At 44.5% G+C, this 19,204-nt stretch overlaps 1 protein-coding gene across 39 annotated transcripts in view; it reads right to left on the bottom strand.

The window, feature by feature from the left end:
* Positions 1 to 19,204, bottom strand: part of DEPDC5 (DEP domain containing 5, GATOR1 subcomplex subunit) — a 154,066-nt gene that overhangs the window by 122,457 nt on the left and 12,405 nt on the right. For 36 of the 39 annotated variants that reach the window (NR_157126.2, NR_157125.2, NR_146296.2 and 33 more), the window contains exons 6-10: positions 18,909 to 18,992; positions 16,714 to 16,763; positions 7,409 to 7,478; positions 1,592 to 1,670; positions 702 to 763 (exon numbers count right to left, since the gene is read on the bottom strand). Coding sequence is in view for 32 of the 39 variants with exons in the window: in NM_001364318.2 (NP_001351247.1) it covers positions 702 to 763; positions 1,592 to 1,670; positions 7,409 to 7,478; positions 16,714 to 16,763; positions 18,909 to 18,992 (345 nt within the window). In the remaining 7 variants the exon portion in view is untranslated. The other 3 variants (NM_001369902.1, NM_001369901.1, XM_047441632.1) reach the window with 2 other exon arrangements.

The raw sequence follows: 19,204 nt of genomic DNA, 5'->3' as shown, positions 1-19,204 counted from the left end.
TTTGATAGGAACTGCATTAACCTGTAAACTGCTTTGGGTAGTATTGCCAAATTCACAATATTAAGTCTTTCAACCTGTGAACACAGGTTATCTTACTATTTACTTAGGTCTTCATTAACTCCTTTCACAGTGTTTTATAGATTCTAGTGGACCAGTCTTACAGCTCCTAGGGTAAAGTATTCTAAGTATTTTATTCTTTCAGATTGTTTATTGCTGGTATATAGAAATACAATTGATTTTGTGTGTTGATTGGGTATCCTGAAACTTTGCTGAATGCATTAGCTCTAATACTTACTTTGTGGAGTTTGAGGATTTTCTACATATAGGATCATATTATCTGTGAATAGAAATAGTTGTACTTCTTTTTCGATTTGGATGCCTTTTATTTCTTTTGCTTGCCTAGGTGGTCTGTCTAGAACTTCTAGTTAGTATAATGTTGAATATCAGTGGCAAAAGCAAGCATACTTACCTTGTTACTGATCTTGGGGGAAAGTTTTCAGTCTTTTACCATTGAGTGTGATGTTAGCTTTGTGTTTTTCATAAATTCTCATAAATTGAGATTATTAGGGTAATTTAAATCTGGAGTCCGGGTTTTACCTAAAATAGCTCAATTTAGGGCAATTTAATAAAAACAGTGCATTTTAAAAATCTGATTGAGTAATGTTTACATAATGAGACTTAGTGTGTAAGAAGAAATGTACCTTCCACTTGGTAAATAGATCAGCAAGGAAACCATTCACAGCTTTCTCAAAATACAAATCCCCTGAAAAGAAACAATGAAAAAAGGATGAGAACATGAGAACAATCTTTATTTCTTGCTTGCAATTTCTTCTCTAATTTCTTCTCTAAGTAAATTCTTCTCTAAGCAATTCCCTAAGTAAACTGCTTGCAACTTCTTCTATAAGAAAGGGGACCAAAAAGAAGGTGTATTTTGTACATCTTTTTTTTTTTTTTTTGAGATGGGAGTCTCACTTTGTCTCCCAGGCTGGAATGCAGTGGCATGATACTGGCTCACTGCCGCCCAGGTTCAAGCGATTCTCCTGCCTCAGCATCCTGAGTAGCTGGGATTACAGGCGCCCACCACCAAGCCCAGCTAATTTTTGTATTTTTAGTAGGTATGGGGTTTCCCGATGTTGGTCAGGCTGGTCTCCAACTCCTGACCTCAGGTGATCCGCCCACCTCAGCCTCCCAAAGTGCTAGGATTACAGGCATGAACCGCTGTGCCCGGCCTGTTTTGTACATCTTAAAACAAGATCATAAAAGCCAGATGTACAAAGTGGTTTCATTCTCAAACTAAGAAGCCAAGTTTATTTATTTCTTTATTTTTTGAAGCCAAATTTAATATCTGCCTCACTACTAAGAGGCTATGACTTCAACATACAATGCAGTTTGAAAAAAATTTGATTATTGAAAAAAGTAGTGTATCTTTAGAACGAGAAAACACTCTAACCTCCAAATATGATTATTCTCACAATGATATTTAAAGTTTGTTAGAAGATGATGTGGGGGACCCTGGGCATTCATGAATTAGCATTTGCAGTTCCAGAAAATTCTCCCCTTAGCAGTTACAATCAGCACATAGACACAGTACCATAAATATCAAAATCCCACATTTCACAGCTCATCTGAATAAATATGTAAACCATAGCCGACGTAGAACGAAACACCACCTGAAATAAAAACACAATTGTATTAAAAAGCAATGCCATATACAGTTTCAGTTCTATAAGATGAAAAAGTTCTGAAGATCTGCTTCACAACAGTGTAAATGTTCTTAACACTATTGAACTATACACTTAAAAATGGTTAAGATGGTAAATTTTATGATAGGCTTTTTAACCACAATTTTTTTTAAAGCAATGATAAAAGAATCTTGCAATGTTGGACTTCTTTTTTTCCTTTGTTTTGAGACAGGATCTCACTCTTGCCACCCAAGGCTGGAGTGCAGTGACACAATCACAGCTCACTGCAGCCTCAAACTCCCAGGCTCCAGGATGAAACGATCTTCCCACTTCAGCCTCTCGAGTAGCTGGAACTATGGGAGTGCACCACCAGGCCACAAAATTTTTGTATTTTTTTGTAGAGAGGGGGTCTCCCTACGTTGCCCAGAGTGGTTTCAAACTCCTGGGCTCAAGCAATCCTCACACCGTGTCCGGAGGTGGTTCCTTCAGGTGGGTTCTTGGTCTCACTGACTTCAAGAATGAAGCTGCGGACCTTCATGGTGAGTGTTAACAGCTGTTAAAGGTGGCACGGACCACCTTTGCTCACCAACAGTGAGCAGCAGCAAGATATATTGTGAAGAGCAAAAGAACAAGGCTTCCATGTGGAAGGGGACCTGGGCTGCCGCTGCTGGCTGGGGTGGCCAGCTTTTATTCCCTTATTTGTCCACACCCATGTCCTGCTGATTGGTCCATTTTACAGAGCGCTGATTGTTCCATTTTACAGAGTGCTGATTGGTGCATTTACAATCCTTTAGCTAGACACAGAGCGCTGATTGGTGCATTTACAATCCTCTAGCTAGACAGAAAAGTTCTCCAAGTCCCCACTCGACCCAGGAAGTCCAGCTGGCTTCACCTCTCACCACCTTTGCCTCCTGAAGTGTTGGGAATAAGCATGAGCCACAGCTCGGGGCCATGACTTGGGACTTCTAAAAGCAAACTTCATCCGAGCATTCTTTGTTTCATTTAAATAGTTACTGAGCTCTTAACTCTGAGCCCTGTTTCAGAGACAGTGAAAATAAGATCTGGTCCCTGCCCTCCAGGAGCTTACAGTACAAGATAAAAACATGCAGAACACTGCAACATATACAAAGGTTCTATGAAGATTTACACATGAAATGCAGGAGAAAGGGCAGTGAATCTACCTAGGAAAGTTATGGAAATCTCATTACGGAGACAGAACTTGGGCTAAGATGTGCCAGGTGATGAGTTGCCAGTCTAATAAATTATAATTCACATTGTACTTCCACTACACTCAGACTGCCTCAAGGAAAAGCAAAAGTGGTTTTCTAGCCCTGTGTGCTATACCACAGAGCCTTTGCTCCACAAGGCTCTAAAGAAGTTTAGAGGGAACGTAAAATGTAAATCTCTTAACACTCCTTTAGTTCATCAGAGACCTGCTCCTTAAAGACTGAAGCTCCTGGCCGGGCACGATGGCTGACACCCATAATCCCAGCACTTTGGGAGGCTGAGGCAGGTGGATCACCTGAGGTCAGGAACTGGAGACCAGCCTGGCCAACATGGTGAAACCCCATCTCTACTAAAATACAAAAATTAGCCAGGCATGGTGGTGAGCGCCTATAATCCCAGCTACTGGGGAGGCTGAGGCAGGACAATCGCTTGAATCCGGGAGGCTGAGGATGCAGTGAGCCAAGATCATACCACTGCACTCCAGCCTGGGCAACAGAGTGAGACTCCACCTCAAAAAAAAAAAAAAAAATTTTTTTCAGAGAAATGAACAGAAATATAGGCTATATTGTCTAAATGTTATCATAATAAATATGCAAGGTTCTTAATAATTAAAGTTGTTTTTGTCTGTCTGTTCATAGAGACAAGGTCTCACTCTGTCTCCCAGGTAGGAGTGCAGTGGCACCATCATAGCTCACTGCAACATCAAACTCCTGGGCTCAAGTGATCATCCTGCCTTAGCCTCCCAAGTAGCTGAGATTATAGGTGTGGGCCACTACCCCTGGCTAAATTTTTCTTTTTAGAGATGGGGTCTCCCTCTGTTGCCCTGGCTGGTCTCAATCTCCTGGGCTCAAGCAATCCCCCCCACCTCGGCCTCTCAAAGTCCTGGGATTACAGGCGTGAGCCACCATGTTCAGCTCCATCTTATTTAATATTTTTTTGGCCAGGTGTGGTGGCTCATGCCTGTAATCCCAACATTTTGGGAGGCTGATGTGGGCAGATCACTTGAAGTCAGGAGTTCGAGACCAGCCTGGGCAACATGGTGAAACCCCATCTCTACTAAAAATATAAAAAGCCAGGTGTGGTGGCAAATGCCTGTAGTCCCAGCTACTCAGGAGGCTGAGGCAAGAGAATCGCTTGAACCCCGGGGGCGGAGGTTGTAGTGAGCCGAGATCACGCCACTGCACTCCAGCCTAGGCAACACAGTGAGACTCCATCTCAATAAAAAATAATAATAAATAAATAAATAAACTCATGTTTTTCTGATTGGTGTGGTGGCATGTGCCTATAATCCCAGATACTGAAAAGGACTGCTGGAGCCCAGGAAGGACCCCTGAATAACACAAGACCCCAATCTCAAAAATAATTAATTTAATGGAAAACCTGAAAGTCTTGTTTCTCTAATCAGATAATAAATTCTTTGTTTTTTTTTTTTTGTTTGTTTGTTTGTTTTTGAGACCGAGTTTCGCTCTTGTTGCCCAGGCTGGAGTGCAATGGCGCGATCTTGGTTCACCGCAACCTCTGCCTCCCGGGTTCAAGAGATTCTCTTGCCTCAGCCTCCCAAGTAGCTGGGATTACAGGCATGCACCACCAAGCCCAGTTAATTTTGTATGTTTAGTAGAGACGGGGTTTCTCCATATTGGTCAGGTTGGTCTCAAACTCCCGACATCAGGTGAACCACCTGCCTCGGCCTCCCAAGTGCTGGGATTACAGGCGTGAGCCACCGCGCCCGGCCCAGATGATGAATTCTTGAGGCAGGGGAGCCTATCTAATATTTCACTCCACCAACATTTGAGAGACTACTAGGTGCCAGTAGACATGCCAGAGAACAGTGGCATATAAAGGTTAAAGATGCAGTCCTTGCTCTGAGGGCGCACACAGTCCAGTGACATGGCACACAAGCAAGCGCACCTACTGCAGTGTGGGAACTGCTAATGAGTGCACAGATCCAGGGTGCCATGGAGGTACTTCCAGCCTGGTGGACCAGGAAGGCTCTCCAGAAGCAGGGAATCCTGAGACTAGAGCTGAGACCTGGATGAGTGGCTTGGGAAGGGGAAAGGCAGGGTCTAGGCACCCTAGGATACAGAGGGCAGCATGTGCGAAGACATGGTGGCAAGAGAGAAGGTGGCATGTTGGGGAACAATGAGTGGTTTGCGTGGCGAGGACACTGGGGGGCAGTGGGGAACAACACATGGGAGAAGTGATTACGAGAACTCCAGACTCAACTGCCTCCAGTGATTCCTCCACTCAGGCATCCAAAAGACTTTTCCCAAACAGAGCTTCCTAATCTCCCCAACCTGCTTCTTCCCTGTCTTCCCCATCTCATAAATGGCACCACCATCTACCTAGCTCTTCAGTACTTCTCTTTCCTTCACTCCTCACATCCAATCTATGAGCAAGTTCTGTGGACCCTATCCAGAAATGTGTCTCATACCTGCCCACATCCTTCCATTGTTATAGCTCTCACCTTAGTCCACACCACCATTTTCTTGCTAGACTATAGCGGGCCTCCTAACTCACTTATCTGCTTTTACTCTTGACCCTGGAAATAACTCTCTATACCAGAGCCAGAAGGGCTGCAGCACTTAATGCTAAATGCCTATCCATTCTTCCCTTCTTCTGATTCTGTTCTGGAAGGCAAGAGACCCAACTGAAAGACAAAACTTCCCAGCCTCCTCAGCAGCTACAAGTGACTAAAATCTGGCCATCATGATTTAAATGGAAGTGTTGTGTCCATAAAGGAAGTTGACTTGGTGGGAAGGTACACCTCTCTTGTCTCTCTTCCCTTCCTCTCTCCTCTGCCTGGAATATGGAGGTGATTATATCAGCTCTTGGTGGATCATGGAATTCCTACCCTGAGGATAGCAGAACAATAAGACACAAGGACGCCAATAATAGTGACACTATTGTACCAACCATGAATTACATATCCATGATTTCTTTTACATGACAGAGAAAAGTTGACCTTTGGCCATTAGAGCCGGTGATTTGGAGGGTTTTATTCAACAAAACACAACTGAATGAGTAGTGATCTCTTAAAAGCATAATTCAAGTATCACTCTCCCACTTAAAACCCATCAATGGATTCTAATTCTCCTTAGAAACACTCTAAACTGGTTCTAACCACCTTGAAGGCCCTGCATGAACTGGCTGGAACCTGCCTATCTCCTCACCAACATCATTCTCCCTACCTGTCTGCAATACTTCCACCACACTGACTTCTGAAAATTGTTTCCTTTGCCTGGAATACTCTTCACCCCAGCATTTATAAACTAGCTAAGTCTCACTTTTCAGACACCTTTGCAGGAAAGCAAAGGCACGATTATGGTGAGCACTCTGGCAATTAATTGGGTCATGTGTATACACACACGCACAAACATACATGTATTTACAAACAATGTAAATACATCCAATGTAAACAATAGGAAATTACAAAAATGAAGTTCATGGAGTGGTTCCCTCTAAGGATACACTGGGTCTCAACCAAGGGTGATTTTACCTTTCAGAGGACATTTGGCATGTCTGGAGAAATTTCTGGCTGTCATAACTTGTAGATTTGTAGGGTGAAGGGTGGTAGGTGATACTGGCATCTAGTGAGTAGAGGCCAGGGATGCTGCTAACCATCCCACAATGCACAAGACAACCCCCACAACATATTAACATTTTGGGCCAGATAACTCTTTGCTCTGGAGGCCTGCTCTGGACGTGTAGCATGTTTAGCAGGATTCTCACTAGATGCCAATGGCACAACCCCTCAGTTGTGACAACCAAATATGTCTTTAGACATTGTCAAAAGACCCCTGAAGGGAGCAAAATCACCCCTGGTTGAAAACCACTGCTCTCAGAGAAGGCATGGAGATGGGAACGAGAAAAGGTAGACATACAGTTTTACCAGCATGGGTAACGTTCATTGGCAAAGGTCTCTCTTCATGTTTATGACATGATCTTCCATGGGGCTTAACTTTTGCTATGTATGAGTGGGCATGGCATAATGCAGGCCAGATACTCTAGCTCTCTGTTTGACATTAAACAGACCCCTTCAGAAGAAAATGAAGATCAACTCCAAACTGGAGAAATCCAACTGTAAAACAGTTTCAGGAGAACTTGATATTACATGTGGGCAAAGAGTAGCTGTCAAGAGCTTAGCAGATTTTTGTTTGTTTGTGTTTTTTGTTTGTTTTTGAGATGGGGTCTTGCTCTGTTGCCCAGGCTGGAGTGCAGTGATGCAATCATGACCCACTGCAGCTTCGAACTCCTAGGATCCCGGTAATTCTTCCACCTCAGCTTCCTGAATAGCTGGGACCAGAGGTACCCATCACCATGCCTGGCTAATTTTTGTACAGGTGGGTCTCTCCATGTTGCCCAGGCTTGTCTTGAACTCCTGGGATAAAGCAATCTGCCCACCTTGGTGTCCTGCCCCGCCCTTGTTTTATTTTTGATTTTAGGACTTAGCCATAATAGTATGGAGAGATAAAACCAAAAAAGCATTTTATAAATCTTACCCTGGTATCTTCACTGATGTAGCCACACATGACCTTCTCATTCTTAACCCACAGTTCACCAGCCTGTGCTCTGAAAGAATACACACACAAGTTATTACAAGTCTTACATGAAACCAATACATGCCTGGTGCAATAGCTCACGCCTGTAATCCCAGCACTTTGGGAAGCCAAGGCGGGCGAATTACCTGAGGTCAGGACTTCGAGACCAGCCTGGACAACATGGTGAAACCCCATCTATACTAAAAATCCAAAATTTAGCCGGGCATGGTGACACATGCCTGTAGTCCCAGCTACTCAGGAGGCTAAGGCAGGAGAACTGCTTGAAGTCACGAGGCAGAGGTTGTAGTGAGCCAACATCATGCCACTGCACTCCATCCTAGGCAACAGAGTGAGATTCCGTCTCAAAAAATAAAAATAAAACAAACCAAAAAGAAATAGGGGCAACTTCAGGTGGCTCTGCTACTTATACTCAAATGACCTAACTGGTTACAGATTTCCAGAGAACTCCGTGAACAGATTATCCAATATAAAGAACTCTCATACTATACTGAATATGAACAGGGGCTCTTAATCTGGGAGTCCACATATAGGTCTAAAGAAGGGCTTCTTGGCCAGGCATGGTGGCTCACGCCTGTAATCCCAGCACTTTGGGAGGCCACGGAGGGCAGATCACGAGGTCAGGAGTTCGAGATCAGCCTGACCAACATGGTGAAATGATGTCTCTACTAAAAAAAAAAAAAATTAGCTGGGCGTGGTGGCATGCGCCTGTAATCTCAGCTACTCAGGACGCTGAGGCAGGAGAATCACTTGAACCCAGGAGGTGGAAGTTGCAGTGAGCTGAGATCGTGCCACTGCACTCCAGCCTGGGCGACAGAGCGAGACTGTCTCAAAAAAAAAAAAAAAACTTAGGGCCAGGTGCAGTGGTTCATGCCTATAATCCCAACACGTTGAGAGGCTGAGGCGGGTGAATCACCTGAGGTCAGGAGTTCGAGACCACCCTGGCCAACACAGCGAAACCCCATCCCTACTAAAAATACAAAAATTAGCTGGGCATGGTGGCACCTATAGACCCAGCTACTTAGGGAGGCTTAGGCAGGAGAACCGTTTGAACCCAGGAGGCGGAGGTTTCAGTGAGCCGAGATCGCACCACTGCACTCCAGCCTGGGCAACAGAGCGAGACTCTGTCTCAAAAAAAAAAATAATAATAATTAACTAATAGCAACTTGGTATTACATTTTTGGGAATGATGTTTTTTCCTCCATGCATTTTTGAGGGCAAGAAGTAGATAGTACGAGAATGGGTGCAGTGGCTCATGCCTGTAATCCCAGCACTTTGGGAGGCCAAGGCAGGTGGATCACCTGAGGTCAGGAGTTCAAGACCAGCCTGGCCAATATGGTGAAACCCCCTCTCTACTAAAAATACAAAAAATTAAATGGGCATGGTGGTGGGTACCTATAATCTCAGCTTCTCAGGAAGCTGAGGCAGAATCACTTGAACCCCGGAGGCAGAGATTGCAGTAAGCCAAGATCGTGTTATTGCACTCCAGCCTGGGCAACAAGAGCACAACTCAGCCTCAAAAAAAAAAAAAAAAAAAAAGTGAATAGTACAGTAGAAAAAGTAAAGCATGGCTTTCAGACTTGACTGGCCTGAAGAGAAACTGGTCTAGGCAAGAATCCCAGCTGAGTGACACTTACTACGTGAATGGCCATAGTAAATTCATGAGGTTCAGTGGCATTATCTTTAAAAATGAGACAATGGGCCGGGCACGGTGACTCACACCTATAATCACAACACTTTGGAAGGCCAAGGTTGGCAGATTGCTTGAGCCCAGGAGCTTGAGACCAGCCTAGGTAGCATAGTGAGACCCTGTCGCTATAAAAAATACAAAAAATTAGGCAGGTATGGTGGCACATGCTGTAGTCCCAGCTACCTAGGAGGCTGAGGTAGGAGGATCGCTTGGGCCTCACAGGTCAAGGCTGTAGTGAGCTGTGATCGCACCACTGCACTCCAGTCTGGGCAACAGAGTGAGACTATTGCAAAAAACAAAACAAAAAAACAAACAAAACAAAAGAGACAATGAAGCCTACGCCTTACAGAGCTGCTTTCACTTTTTTTTTTTTTTTTTTTTGAGATGTAGTCTCGCTCTGTCGCCCAGTCTGGAGTGCAGTGGTGCGATCTCAGCTCACTGCAACCTCTGACTCCCTGGTTCAAGCGATTCTCCTGCCTCAGCCTCCCGAGTAGCTGGGATTACAGGCACGTGCCACCATGCCCAGCTAATTTTTTATATTTTTAGTAGAGATGAGGTTTCACCATGTTGGCCAGGCTGGTCTCGAACTCCTGACCTTGTGATCCGCCCGCCTTGGCCTCCCAAACTGCTGGGTTTACAGGTGTGAGCCACTGTGCCCAGCCTTCTACAGAGCTGTTTTCAAATTAAACCAGATAATGTGGGGAAACTGTTCAGGACAGTGTGAGGATAGGGCGTGCTCAATTAGTTTACTAGCAAGAACTAGAACTACAGCAGGTATTAACACAAAATGCTATCCTGGAGAGAAAGTGGTAGCTATTAGCTGAGCACCGTGTAATCAATCATCCCTCAACCAACCACCTCAAGCCCTTATCTTCTACCAATTTCACTCTTTCTCCCAACCTGCCTCACCTAAGCAATCAGTCCTCATAAAAAAGGAAGACAAAGGCCAGGTGCAGTGGCTCACATCTGTAATCCCAACACTTTGGGAGGCCGAGGTGGGTGGATCATGAAGTCAGGAGTTTGACACCAGCCTGGCCAACATGGTGAAACCCTGTCTTTACTAAAAACACAAAAATTAGCCAGGCGTGGTGGCAGGTGCCTGTAATCCCAGCTACTCGGGAGGCTGAGGCAGGAGAATTGCTTGAACCTGGGAGGCAGAGGTTGCAATGAGCTCAGATCGCACCATTGCACTCCAGCCTGGGCAACAAGAGTAAAACTCTGTCTCAAAAAAAAAAAAGGAAGGAAGACAAAATCAGATAAAAGCCAGGAAAATGCTGTGTACCATGAGTCATAGTTCAGGCTACCTAGGAAATGCTGGACAATCAATCAATCCCTCTGGGTCTACCCCATGCCAAAATGAAGAAGGCTGGACCAGGCCCATGGCTTATACCAAGTGGGATGCTTTTTCATACTCCTTTGCCCAGTTACGTCTGTGAATGAACAAGTGTCACAAGCCTGACCTCAGAAGAGACTTGTATTTCTTTAATATTGTAATAAGGAGGTCAGGCACGGTGGCTCATGCCTGTAATCCTAGCACCTTGGGAGGCCGAGGTGGGTGGATCACGAGGTCAAGAGATCGAGACCATCCTGGCCAACGTGGTAAAACCCCGTATCTACTATCTTGCTATGTTGCCCAGGGTGGCCTCAAATTCTTGGGCTTGAGCGATTCTCCCACCTCAGACTCCCAAGTAGGTGAAACTACAGGCACAAGCAGCCACACCCAGCTAATTTTTTTGTATTTTCAGTAAAGACGGGGTTTCACCATGTTGTCTAGGCTGGTCTTGAACTCCCAGACTCAAGCAATCTGCCCACTTAAGCCTCTCAAAGTGCTGGGATTACAGGCATGAGCCACCGCACCCAGCCAGCTCTGCTTATAATCGTCAGAACCCCACATTCACAGGACCTCTAAAACAAGCTTGGTGTGGCTGGAGGTGGTGGCTCACGCCTGTAATCCCATCACTTTGGGAGGCCGAGGCAGGCAGATTACCTGAGGTCGGGAGTTCAAGACCAGCCTGAAAAACATGGTGAAACCCCATCTCTACTAAAAACACAAAATTAGCCAGGCATGGTGGCGGGTGCCTGTGATCCCAGCTACTTGAGAGGCTGAGGCAGGAGAATTGCTTGAGCCTGGGAGGCAGAGGTTGCAGAGCCAAGATCACGCCACTGCACTGCAGCCTAGGTGACAGAGTGAGACTCGTCTCAAAAAAAAAAAAAAAAGTTACAATGTGATCCAACAGGCTAGGGTTTAAGGTCATTATTTTTTAAAAGCAAAATGTTAGTCAACAGGAGACAAGATTTTGCTACTATATATATATTTTTTGTTGTTGTTGTTGTTTTGTTTTGTTTTTTTGAGACAGGGTTTCGTTCTTGTTGCCCAGGGTGGAGTGCAATGGCACGATCTCGGCTCACCACAACCTCTGCCTCCCAGGTTCAAGCAATTCTCCTGCCTCAGCCTCCCGAGTAGCTGGGATTACAGGAGCCTGCCATCATGCTCAGCTAATTTTGTATTTTTAGTAGAGACAGGGTTTCACCATGTTCGCCAGGCTGGTCATGAACCCCTGACCTCAGGTAATCCACCCACCTTGGCCTCCCAAAGTGCTGGGATTATAGGCGTGAGCCACCACACCCGGCTCATGTGTTCTTAACTATGTAACTATTACCAGATTGAAAGTTAAATTGCAGGGAAATTATTTGACCATTTGTAATGACTTTAACTATACAAATGACTATACTTTATTTTTCTCACAGGAGGCCCACAGCATCTTTTTTCTCAGGCATTCACGAAGTCAGCAAAAGAAAGTAACCTTTGATCCAGTGTAGAAATACTGTAAGTCTTCTGGAGAAAAGATAGAAGACTGTAGTTTACATTTAACCAAGCCTGAGCAAAATATCAGGACAGATCTTTAAAAGTCTAAAAGAGGCCAGCTGCGGTGGCTCATACCTGTAATCCCAGCACTCTAGGGGGCTGAGCCAAGAGGATCGTTTGAGCCCAGGAGTTGGAAACCAGCCTGAGGAACATAGTGAGACCCTGTCTCTACCATAATGAAACAAAAACAAAAACAAAAAAAGAGCCAGGCATGCTGGCACGCACTTGTAGTCCTAGCTACTCAGGAGGCTGAGGTGGGAGTATTGCTTGGGCCTAGGAGGTTGAGGCTGTAGTGAGGCATGATGGCACAACTGCATTCCAGCCTGGGCGATAGAGGAAGCCCATCTCAGAAATAAATATATAAAAATAAAGTTAAAAAGTGACAATCTGTCAGGGTTTTCTTTTCTCCATCTAGAACTGTGTGTATGAGGGTATTTACATAGAGAAACAAAGAACTTAAAAAAGAAAGAGATCAGCCAGGCGTGGTGACTTACATCTGTAATCTCATCACTTTTGGAGGCCAACGTGTGCAGATCACTTGAGGCCAGGAGTTCGACACCAGCCTGGCCAACATGGCAAGACCCCGTGTCTACTAAAAAAACAAAAATTAGCTGGGCATAGTGGTGCATTCCTGTAGTCCCAGCTATTCAGGAGGCTGAGGTAGGAGAATCACTTGAAACCAGGAGGCAGAGGTTGCAGTGGGGAGATATCATGCTACTACACTCCAGCCTAGGCAACAGAGAAAGACTCTGTCTCAGAAATAATATATATAATATATATATAATTTAAAAATAAAAGAGGAAGCAATAGAAAAAAAAATGAGAGAGATCTGAATAGGTTTCCAAACCGAGGCTGGCAAACTACATACAGCCTTCAAGCCAATTCTCGCCTATCTCCTGTTTTCATATGGCCCATAGCTAAGAATGGCTGTTACATTTTTAAATGGTCGAAACACACAGAATATGCAATAGACCTGAGATCTATTGCTACTCACAAAGTCTAAAATATTTATTAACTGGTCCTTGACAGAAGAATATTCTAAACCAACTACTCCATTTTGCAGATGTGAAGACTAAGGGTTTACCGAAGTTACCCAACATCACTCGAACCACTAATCACAGTGATGGCTAAACACTGGCTCTGCAGATACAGATCCAGGCTTCCTGACCCTGGATACCCATCCAGTAGAGATCTGCTGATACTGGAGGCATAAACCTTGGTTACATTTTTTGTGCTGCTTGAGATTTAGTCACTTCTTGGGTTGTGCTTTAGTTGCTTGGATGTTTTAAAGAACACTGACCCGCTAACAAATTTTTGTTTGTTTTCAAAGATGGGATCTCACTCTGTTGCCCAGGCTGGAGTACAATAATGCAATAATAGCTCACTGCAGCATCGACCTGTGCTTCAGTGCTCCTCCAACCTGTTTCCCAAGTACCTCAAACTAGAGGAGCCCTGACACCAACCCCCGTTCTTTTTTTTATTGTTATTTTAGCCAGAGTCTGACTCTGTCACCCAGGCTAGAAGGCAGCAGAATGATCAAGGCTCACTACAGCCTTGAACCTCCCTGGATTTAGGTGATCCTTCCACCTCAGCCTCCCAAGTAACTGGGACTACAAGCGCCACCATGACCAGCTAATTTTTGTATTTTTTTGTAGGGATGGGGTTTCAGCATATTGCCAGGTTGGTCTTGAACTCCCAGGCTCAAGCAAACTACCCACCTCAGCCTTCCAAAGTGCTGGGATTAGAGGCATGAGCCACTGCACCTAGTCCTAACTGTGTGTGTGTGTGTGTGTGTGTGTGTGTGTGTGTGTGTGTGTGTGTGTGTGTGTGTGTGTGTGTGACGGAGTCTTGCTCTGTCACCAGGCTAGAGTGCAGTGGTGTGATCTCGGCTCACTGCAACCTCTGACTCCCTGGTTCAAGCGATTCTCCTGCCTCAGCCTCCCGAGTAGCTGGGACTACAGGCACAGGCCACCACACCCAGCTGATTTTTGTATTTTTAGTAGAGATGGGGTTTCACCATGTTACCCAGGATGGTCTCGATCTCCTGATCTCGTGATCTGCCTGCCTCAGTCTCCCAAAGTGCTGGGATTACAGGTGTGAGCCAACCAGCAATTTTTTAAAAATTACTATTTCTGTAGAGATGAGGTCTTACTATGTTGTCCAGGCTGGTTTGAACTCCTGGCCTCAAGTGATCCTCACGCCATAGCCATTTTACCTGGCTCCCCACAACAAGTTTCAAAATACCCTTTTTGGGAGAAAAAATGAAGCCTCTATCCTTTCTTTCTTTTTAGGATCAGTATTTCATTCTGGTCAAATAGACCTAGTTGATGATGAAAAATTATTTACAGAAGGATTCTGGCTAATAAATGTAGAAGGGATGACTTAATTAAAAAATCACCAAAAAAAGGAAAGAAAATCACCATCTTACAACAATCCTCAATGGATGAAACCATTAGGTGAAAAGTTGATGGGGGCCGCGTGCGGTGGCTCAACGCCTATAATCCCAGTGCTTTGGGAGGCTGAGGAGGCGGGATCACCTGAGATCAGGAGTTTGAGACCAGCCTGGCCAACATGGTGAAACCCCATCTCCACTGAAAATACAAAAATTAGCCGGGCATGGTGGCACGTGCCTGTAGTTCAGGAGGCCCAGGCAGAATAATTGCTTGAACCTGGGAGGCAGAGGTTGCAGTGAGACAAGATCACACCACTGCACTCCAGCCTGGGCGACAGAGTGAGACTTTGTCTCAAAAAAAAAAAAAAAAAAGAAAAGTAGATGGGGATCTTTATAACGAGGGACTACACTGCACCCTGTGACCCCACTGAACAAGCTTAGGATCACCACAAGTCAGTTAACAAGACAAATATGCCGGGTGAGGTAGCTCACACCTGTAATCCCAGCACTTTGGGAGTCGAAGGTGGGCAGATCACGAGGTCAGGAGTTCGAGACCAGCCTGACCAACATGGTGAAACTCCGTCTCTACTAAAAATACAAAAAAAAAAAAAAAAAATTAGCTACGTGTGGTGGTGGGTAACTGTAATTCCAGCAACTCACGAGGCTGAGGCAGGATAATTGCTTGAAATCAGGAGGTAGAGGCTGCAGTCAGCCAAGGTCCCACCACTGCACTCCAGCCTGGGTGACAGAGCAAGACTCTGTCTCAGAAAAAAAAAAACAAAAAAACAAGACATAAATATGATTGTGTGTACACAGTAAATTTCAGGAAAGAAACAAGTTGTTTCTGGGGAGAGGAATGTATATTTCATGAGATACCTTTCTGAATTATTTGAATGCTTAATTATGTGCATGTTGTACTTTTTTTTTTTTTGAGACAGTCTCACTCTGTCACCCAGGCTGCAGTGCAGTGGCATGATAATGTCTCACTGCAGCCCCAACCTCCCAGGGCTCAGGCGATCCTCCCACCTCAGCCTCCTGAGTAGCTGGGACTACAGTCGCACACCACCATGCCTGGCTGTTTTTTTTTTTTTTCTCTTTTTTTTAGAGACTATTTGTCACGTGGCCCAAGCTGGTCTTGAACTCCTGGGGCTCAAGCACACTCAGCCCACCTTGGCCTCTCAAAGTGCTGAGATTACAGGTGTGAGCCACCGCACCTGAAATACTTTCTGAATTTTTTTTTTGAGGCAGGGTCTTGCTCTGTCATCCAGGCTGGAGTGTAGTGGTGTGATCCCAGCTCACTGCAGCCTCTACCTCCCAGGCTCAAGCGATCCTCCCACCTCTCAGCCTCCCGGGTAGCTGGACTACAGGCGTGTGTCACCACACCCAGCTAATTTTTGTATTTTTTTGTAGAAATGGGGTCTCACTATGTTGCCCAGGCTGGTCTTCAACTCCTGGGCTCAAGCAACAATCTACCCACCTCAGCATCCCAAAGTGTTGGGATTACAAGTGTGAGCCACCACACCCAGCCACTTTTTGAATTTAAAGGGGATTTCACAAAGTCTCTTTTTTCTTCACAAACTAAAATATAGAAATAGTTTTAATAAATCAAGAGTACAGCAATATAGTTAAAAAGGTAACAAATCAGGAGCCAATGTGCCAGTCATTTTATGTTTCTAAACCTGTTTCCTAATTTGTAAAATGAGAAAGTATGATTCAATACGTGCATCTAGGGTTTTTCCAGTTGTAAAATTACGAGTCTCTATCTCCTTTTTTTTTTCTACTTCCTTTTTTACAGAATGCCAGGGGGCTTCATCAACTTTTTCCATTAATAAGCCTCAAACTACTATAGTGCATTTTGTGGTTTGTTTGAGCTACAACAATCTAACTTTTTTTTTTTTTTTTTTGAGACGGAGTTTTGCTCTGTCGTCCAGGCTGGAGGGCAGTGGCGTGATCTCGGCTCACTGCAAGCTCCGCCTCCCGGGTTCACGCCATTCTCCTGCCTCAGTCTCCCAAGTAGCTGCGACTACAGGCGCCCGCCACCACGCCCAGCTAATTTTTTGTATTTTTAGTAGAGACGGGGTTTCACCGTGTTAGCCAGTATGGTCCTGATCTCCTGACCTCGTGATCCGCCCACCTTGGCCTCCCAAAGTGCTAGGATTACAGGCGTGAGCCACTGTGGCCAGCCAACAATCTAACATTTTATACTTTTACACATTTTATTATATGGACATCCATACGCCTCCACTGCTTTATGTAGCCCAGTTACTGCACAGATAAGGCAAGAGTGATGTAATATCTACCTGATGCCAGCAAACTCCACCTTCTGGGTGATATAGGCACATGTGCTGACCTAAGAGGAGGGGGAGAGAGGGGTAGAGAGAGGGAGGGAGGGAGAGAGGGTGAGAAAGAGAGAGAGATTGATTAACATATTAAGGCCATGAAAAATCACAAACAAGAACTCCTAGCTTTCTAATCTCTTCTACCAACCCAAAGTTGAACTAGCTTGTGAGTAATAGATTTACCCACAGGAAAACCTGTTAGGGTAGGTATGACAGTAGGTGCTTAAAGAGTTTGGCAAGTATAGATAATAGCAAAGACCAGGTGGATGATAAATGACCAGCTTTACAAATATCCTCATCTTCACATATGTTTACATACATATCTGCATTTACATACTCATTTAAATATTGTGTTGTTTCTCATTTTATCTCTCACTTTAGAAAATGGAACCCTCAACAAATTAAAATTAAGCAGATTTTTCCTGAAAATATACCCTGTATGGAAATTCTACCTATAATTTGTGGTTACATAGTATACAAAAACTTCATTTCTTTTGATTAGTGTCAAAATGGAAAAAAAAACCTCAAATGAGAATTTTCAGAACCAGTTCATAATTCTGATGAACTAATCTTTTCAAGTTGAAATGTTCATTAAAAAATTAATAAATGTGGGTGTGGTGTACTGTTTGGGTAATGGGTGCATCAAAATCTCACGAATCACCATTAAAGAACTTACTCATATAACCAAACACCACCTGTTCCCCAGTAACACGGAAATAAAAAAAAATTAAAAAAAAAAACAATTAAAATATAATAAAAATATTTTTTTTTAAAAAATGGGGCCGGGTGCACTGGCTCACACCTGTAATCCCAGCACTTTGGGAGGCCGAGATGGGACGATCACGAGGTCAGGAGATCGAGACCATCCTGGCTAACGTGGTGAAACCCTGTCTCTACTAAAAATACAAAAAATTAGCCGGGTGTGGTGGCGGGCGCCTGTAATCCCAGCTACTCGGGAGGCTGAGGCAGAAGAATGGGTGAACCCGGGAGGCAGAGCTTGCAGTGAGCAGAAATCGCACCACTGCACTCCAGCCTGGGTGACAGAGCGAGACTCTGTCTCAAAAAAAATAAACAAATGAATAATTAAAAAATGGGCCGGGCACGATGCCTCACACCTATAATCCTAGCACTTTGGGAGGCCAAGGTGGGCAGATCACCTGAGGTCAGGAGTTCAAGACCAGCCTGGCCAACATGGTGAAACCCCCACCTCTACTAAAAATACAAAAAAAAAGCTGGGAGCGGTGGCTCACGCCTGTAATCCCAGCACTTTGGGAGGCCGAGGCGGGCAGATTGCCTGAGGTCTGGAGTTCGAGACCAACCTGACCAACATGGAGAAACCCCATCTCTACTAAAAACACAAAATTAGCCAGGTGCGGTGGTGCATGCCCGTAATCCCAGCTACTGCGGAGGCTGAGGCAGGAGAATCGCTTGAACCAGGAAGGCCGAGGTTGTGGTGAGCCGAGATCACGCCATTGCACTCCAGCCTGGGCAACAAGAAACTCCGTCTCAAAAAAAAATTAGCCGGGCATGGTGGTGGGTGCCTGTAATTCCAGCTACTTGGGAGGCTGAGGCAGGAGAATCGCTTGAACCCAGACGACAGAGGTTACAGTAAGCCAAGATCCCACCATTTCACTCCAGCTTGGGGAAAGAGCGAAACTCCATCTCAGAAAAAAAAAAAAACAATGAATACATGTGGAAAACGGGAAGAGGGTATAGCAAAAAGCAGTGTGATCTGGAAGCCACAGGATCTGGGTTTTGGCCAAGAGTCAACTTACTATCTAGCCTTGGGCAATTACCTAACTTCTCAATCTCAGTTTCTACCTCTATAAATTAGGGATAATAAATACCTGTCCATGAGGAGATGTGAGGAGCAAATGGGATAAAGTGAAAACCTGAAAAGTACGGTTCTATTCCAATGTAAAATACAGTATAACTTCCTATCTAAACCAAAAATGCTGAGTAAAAATCTGTAACAGTAAACAAAAGATCAAAAGAACAGTGAAAAGAGAATGGAAGAACACAGAAGACGTTGACAATAATTGTCTGTAGATGCTGATATAAAATCAGAAACGATTTTATATTCTTCTCCCATAATAAACAGGGATTATTCACATAATGGAAAAAGTAACAGACTTTCAAAAAAAATCACATCTTACCAAACTTTTCTTTAGTCGCCACATATCCCCACGGCCAATATACTGATCCTTAAAAGTTAATTCCACTAGGTCAAGGGTCACATCCTAAAAGGAATAATCAAATGATATCTCTGACATTACTTTGCCACACTTTATAGTCAGAAGGTAATGCCCACTTACCATGGAAAAAAACTTATTGCAAAAAAGAAAACTACTGGAAGACCATTCAGTAGCAGAACTCTGATGAACAGAATTATATCCTGCAAAAGCACACTTTTCAGTATAGTTGGTAAATCTACAACTGATCCTATAGCTGC

Source organism: Homo sapiens, chromosome 22, assembly GCF_000001405.40.
Source record: "Homo sapiens chromosome 22, GRCh38.p14 Primary Assembly".
Classification (NCBI taxonomy): Eukaryota; Metazoa; Chordata; class Mammalia; order Primates; family Hominidae; genus Homo; species Homo sapiens.
This window is presented reverse-complemented; position numbering and strand designations above follow the sequence as displayed.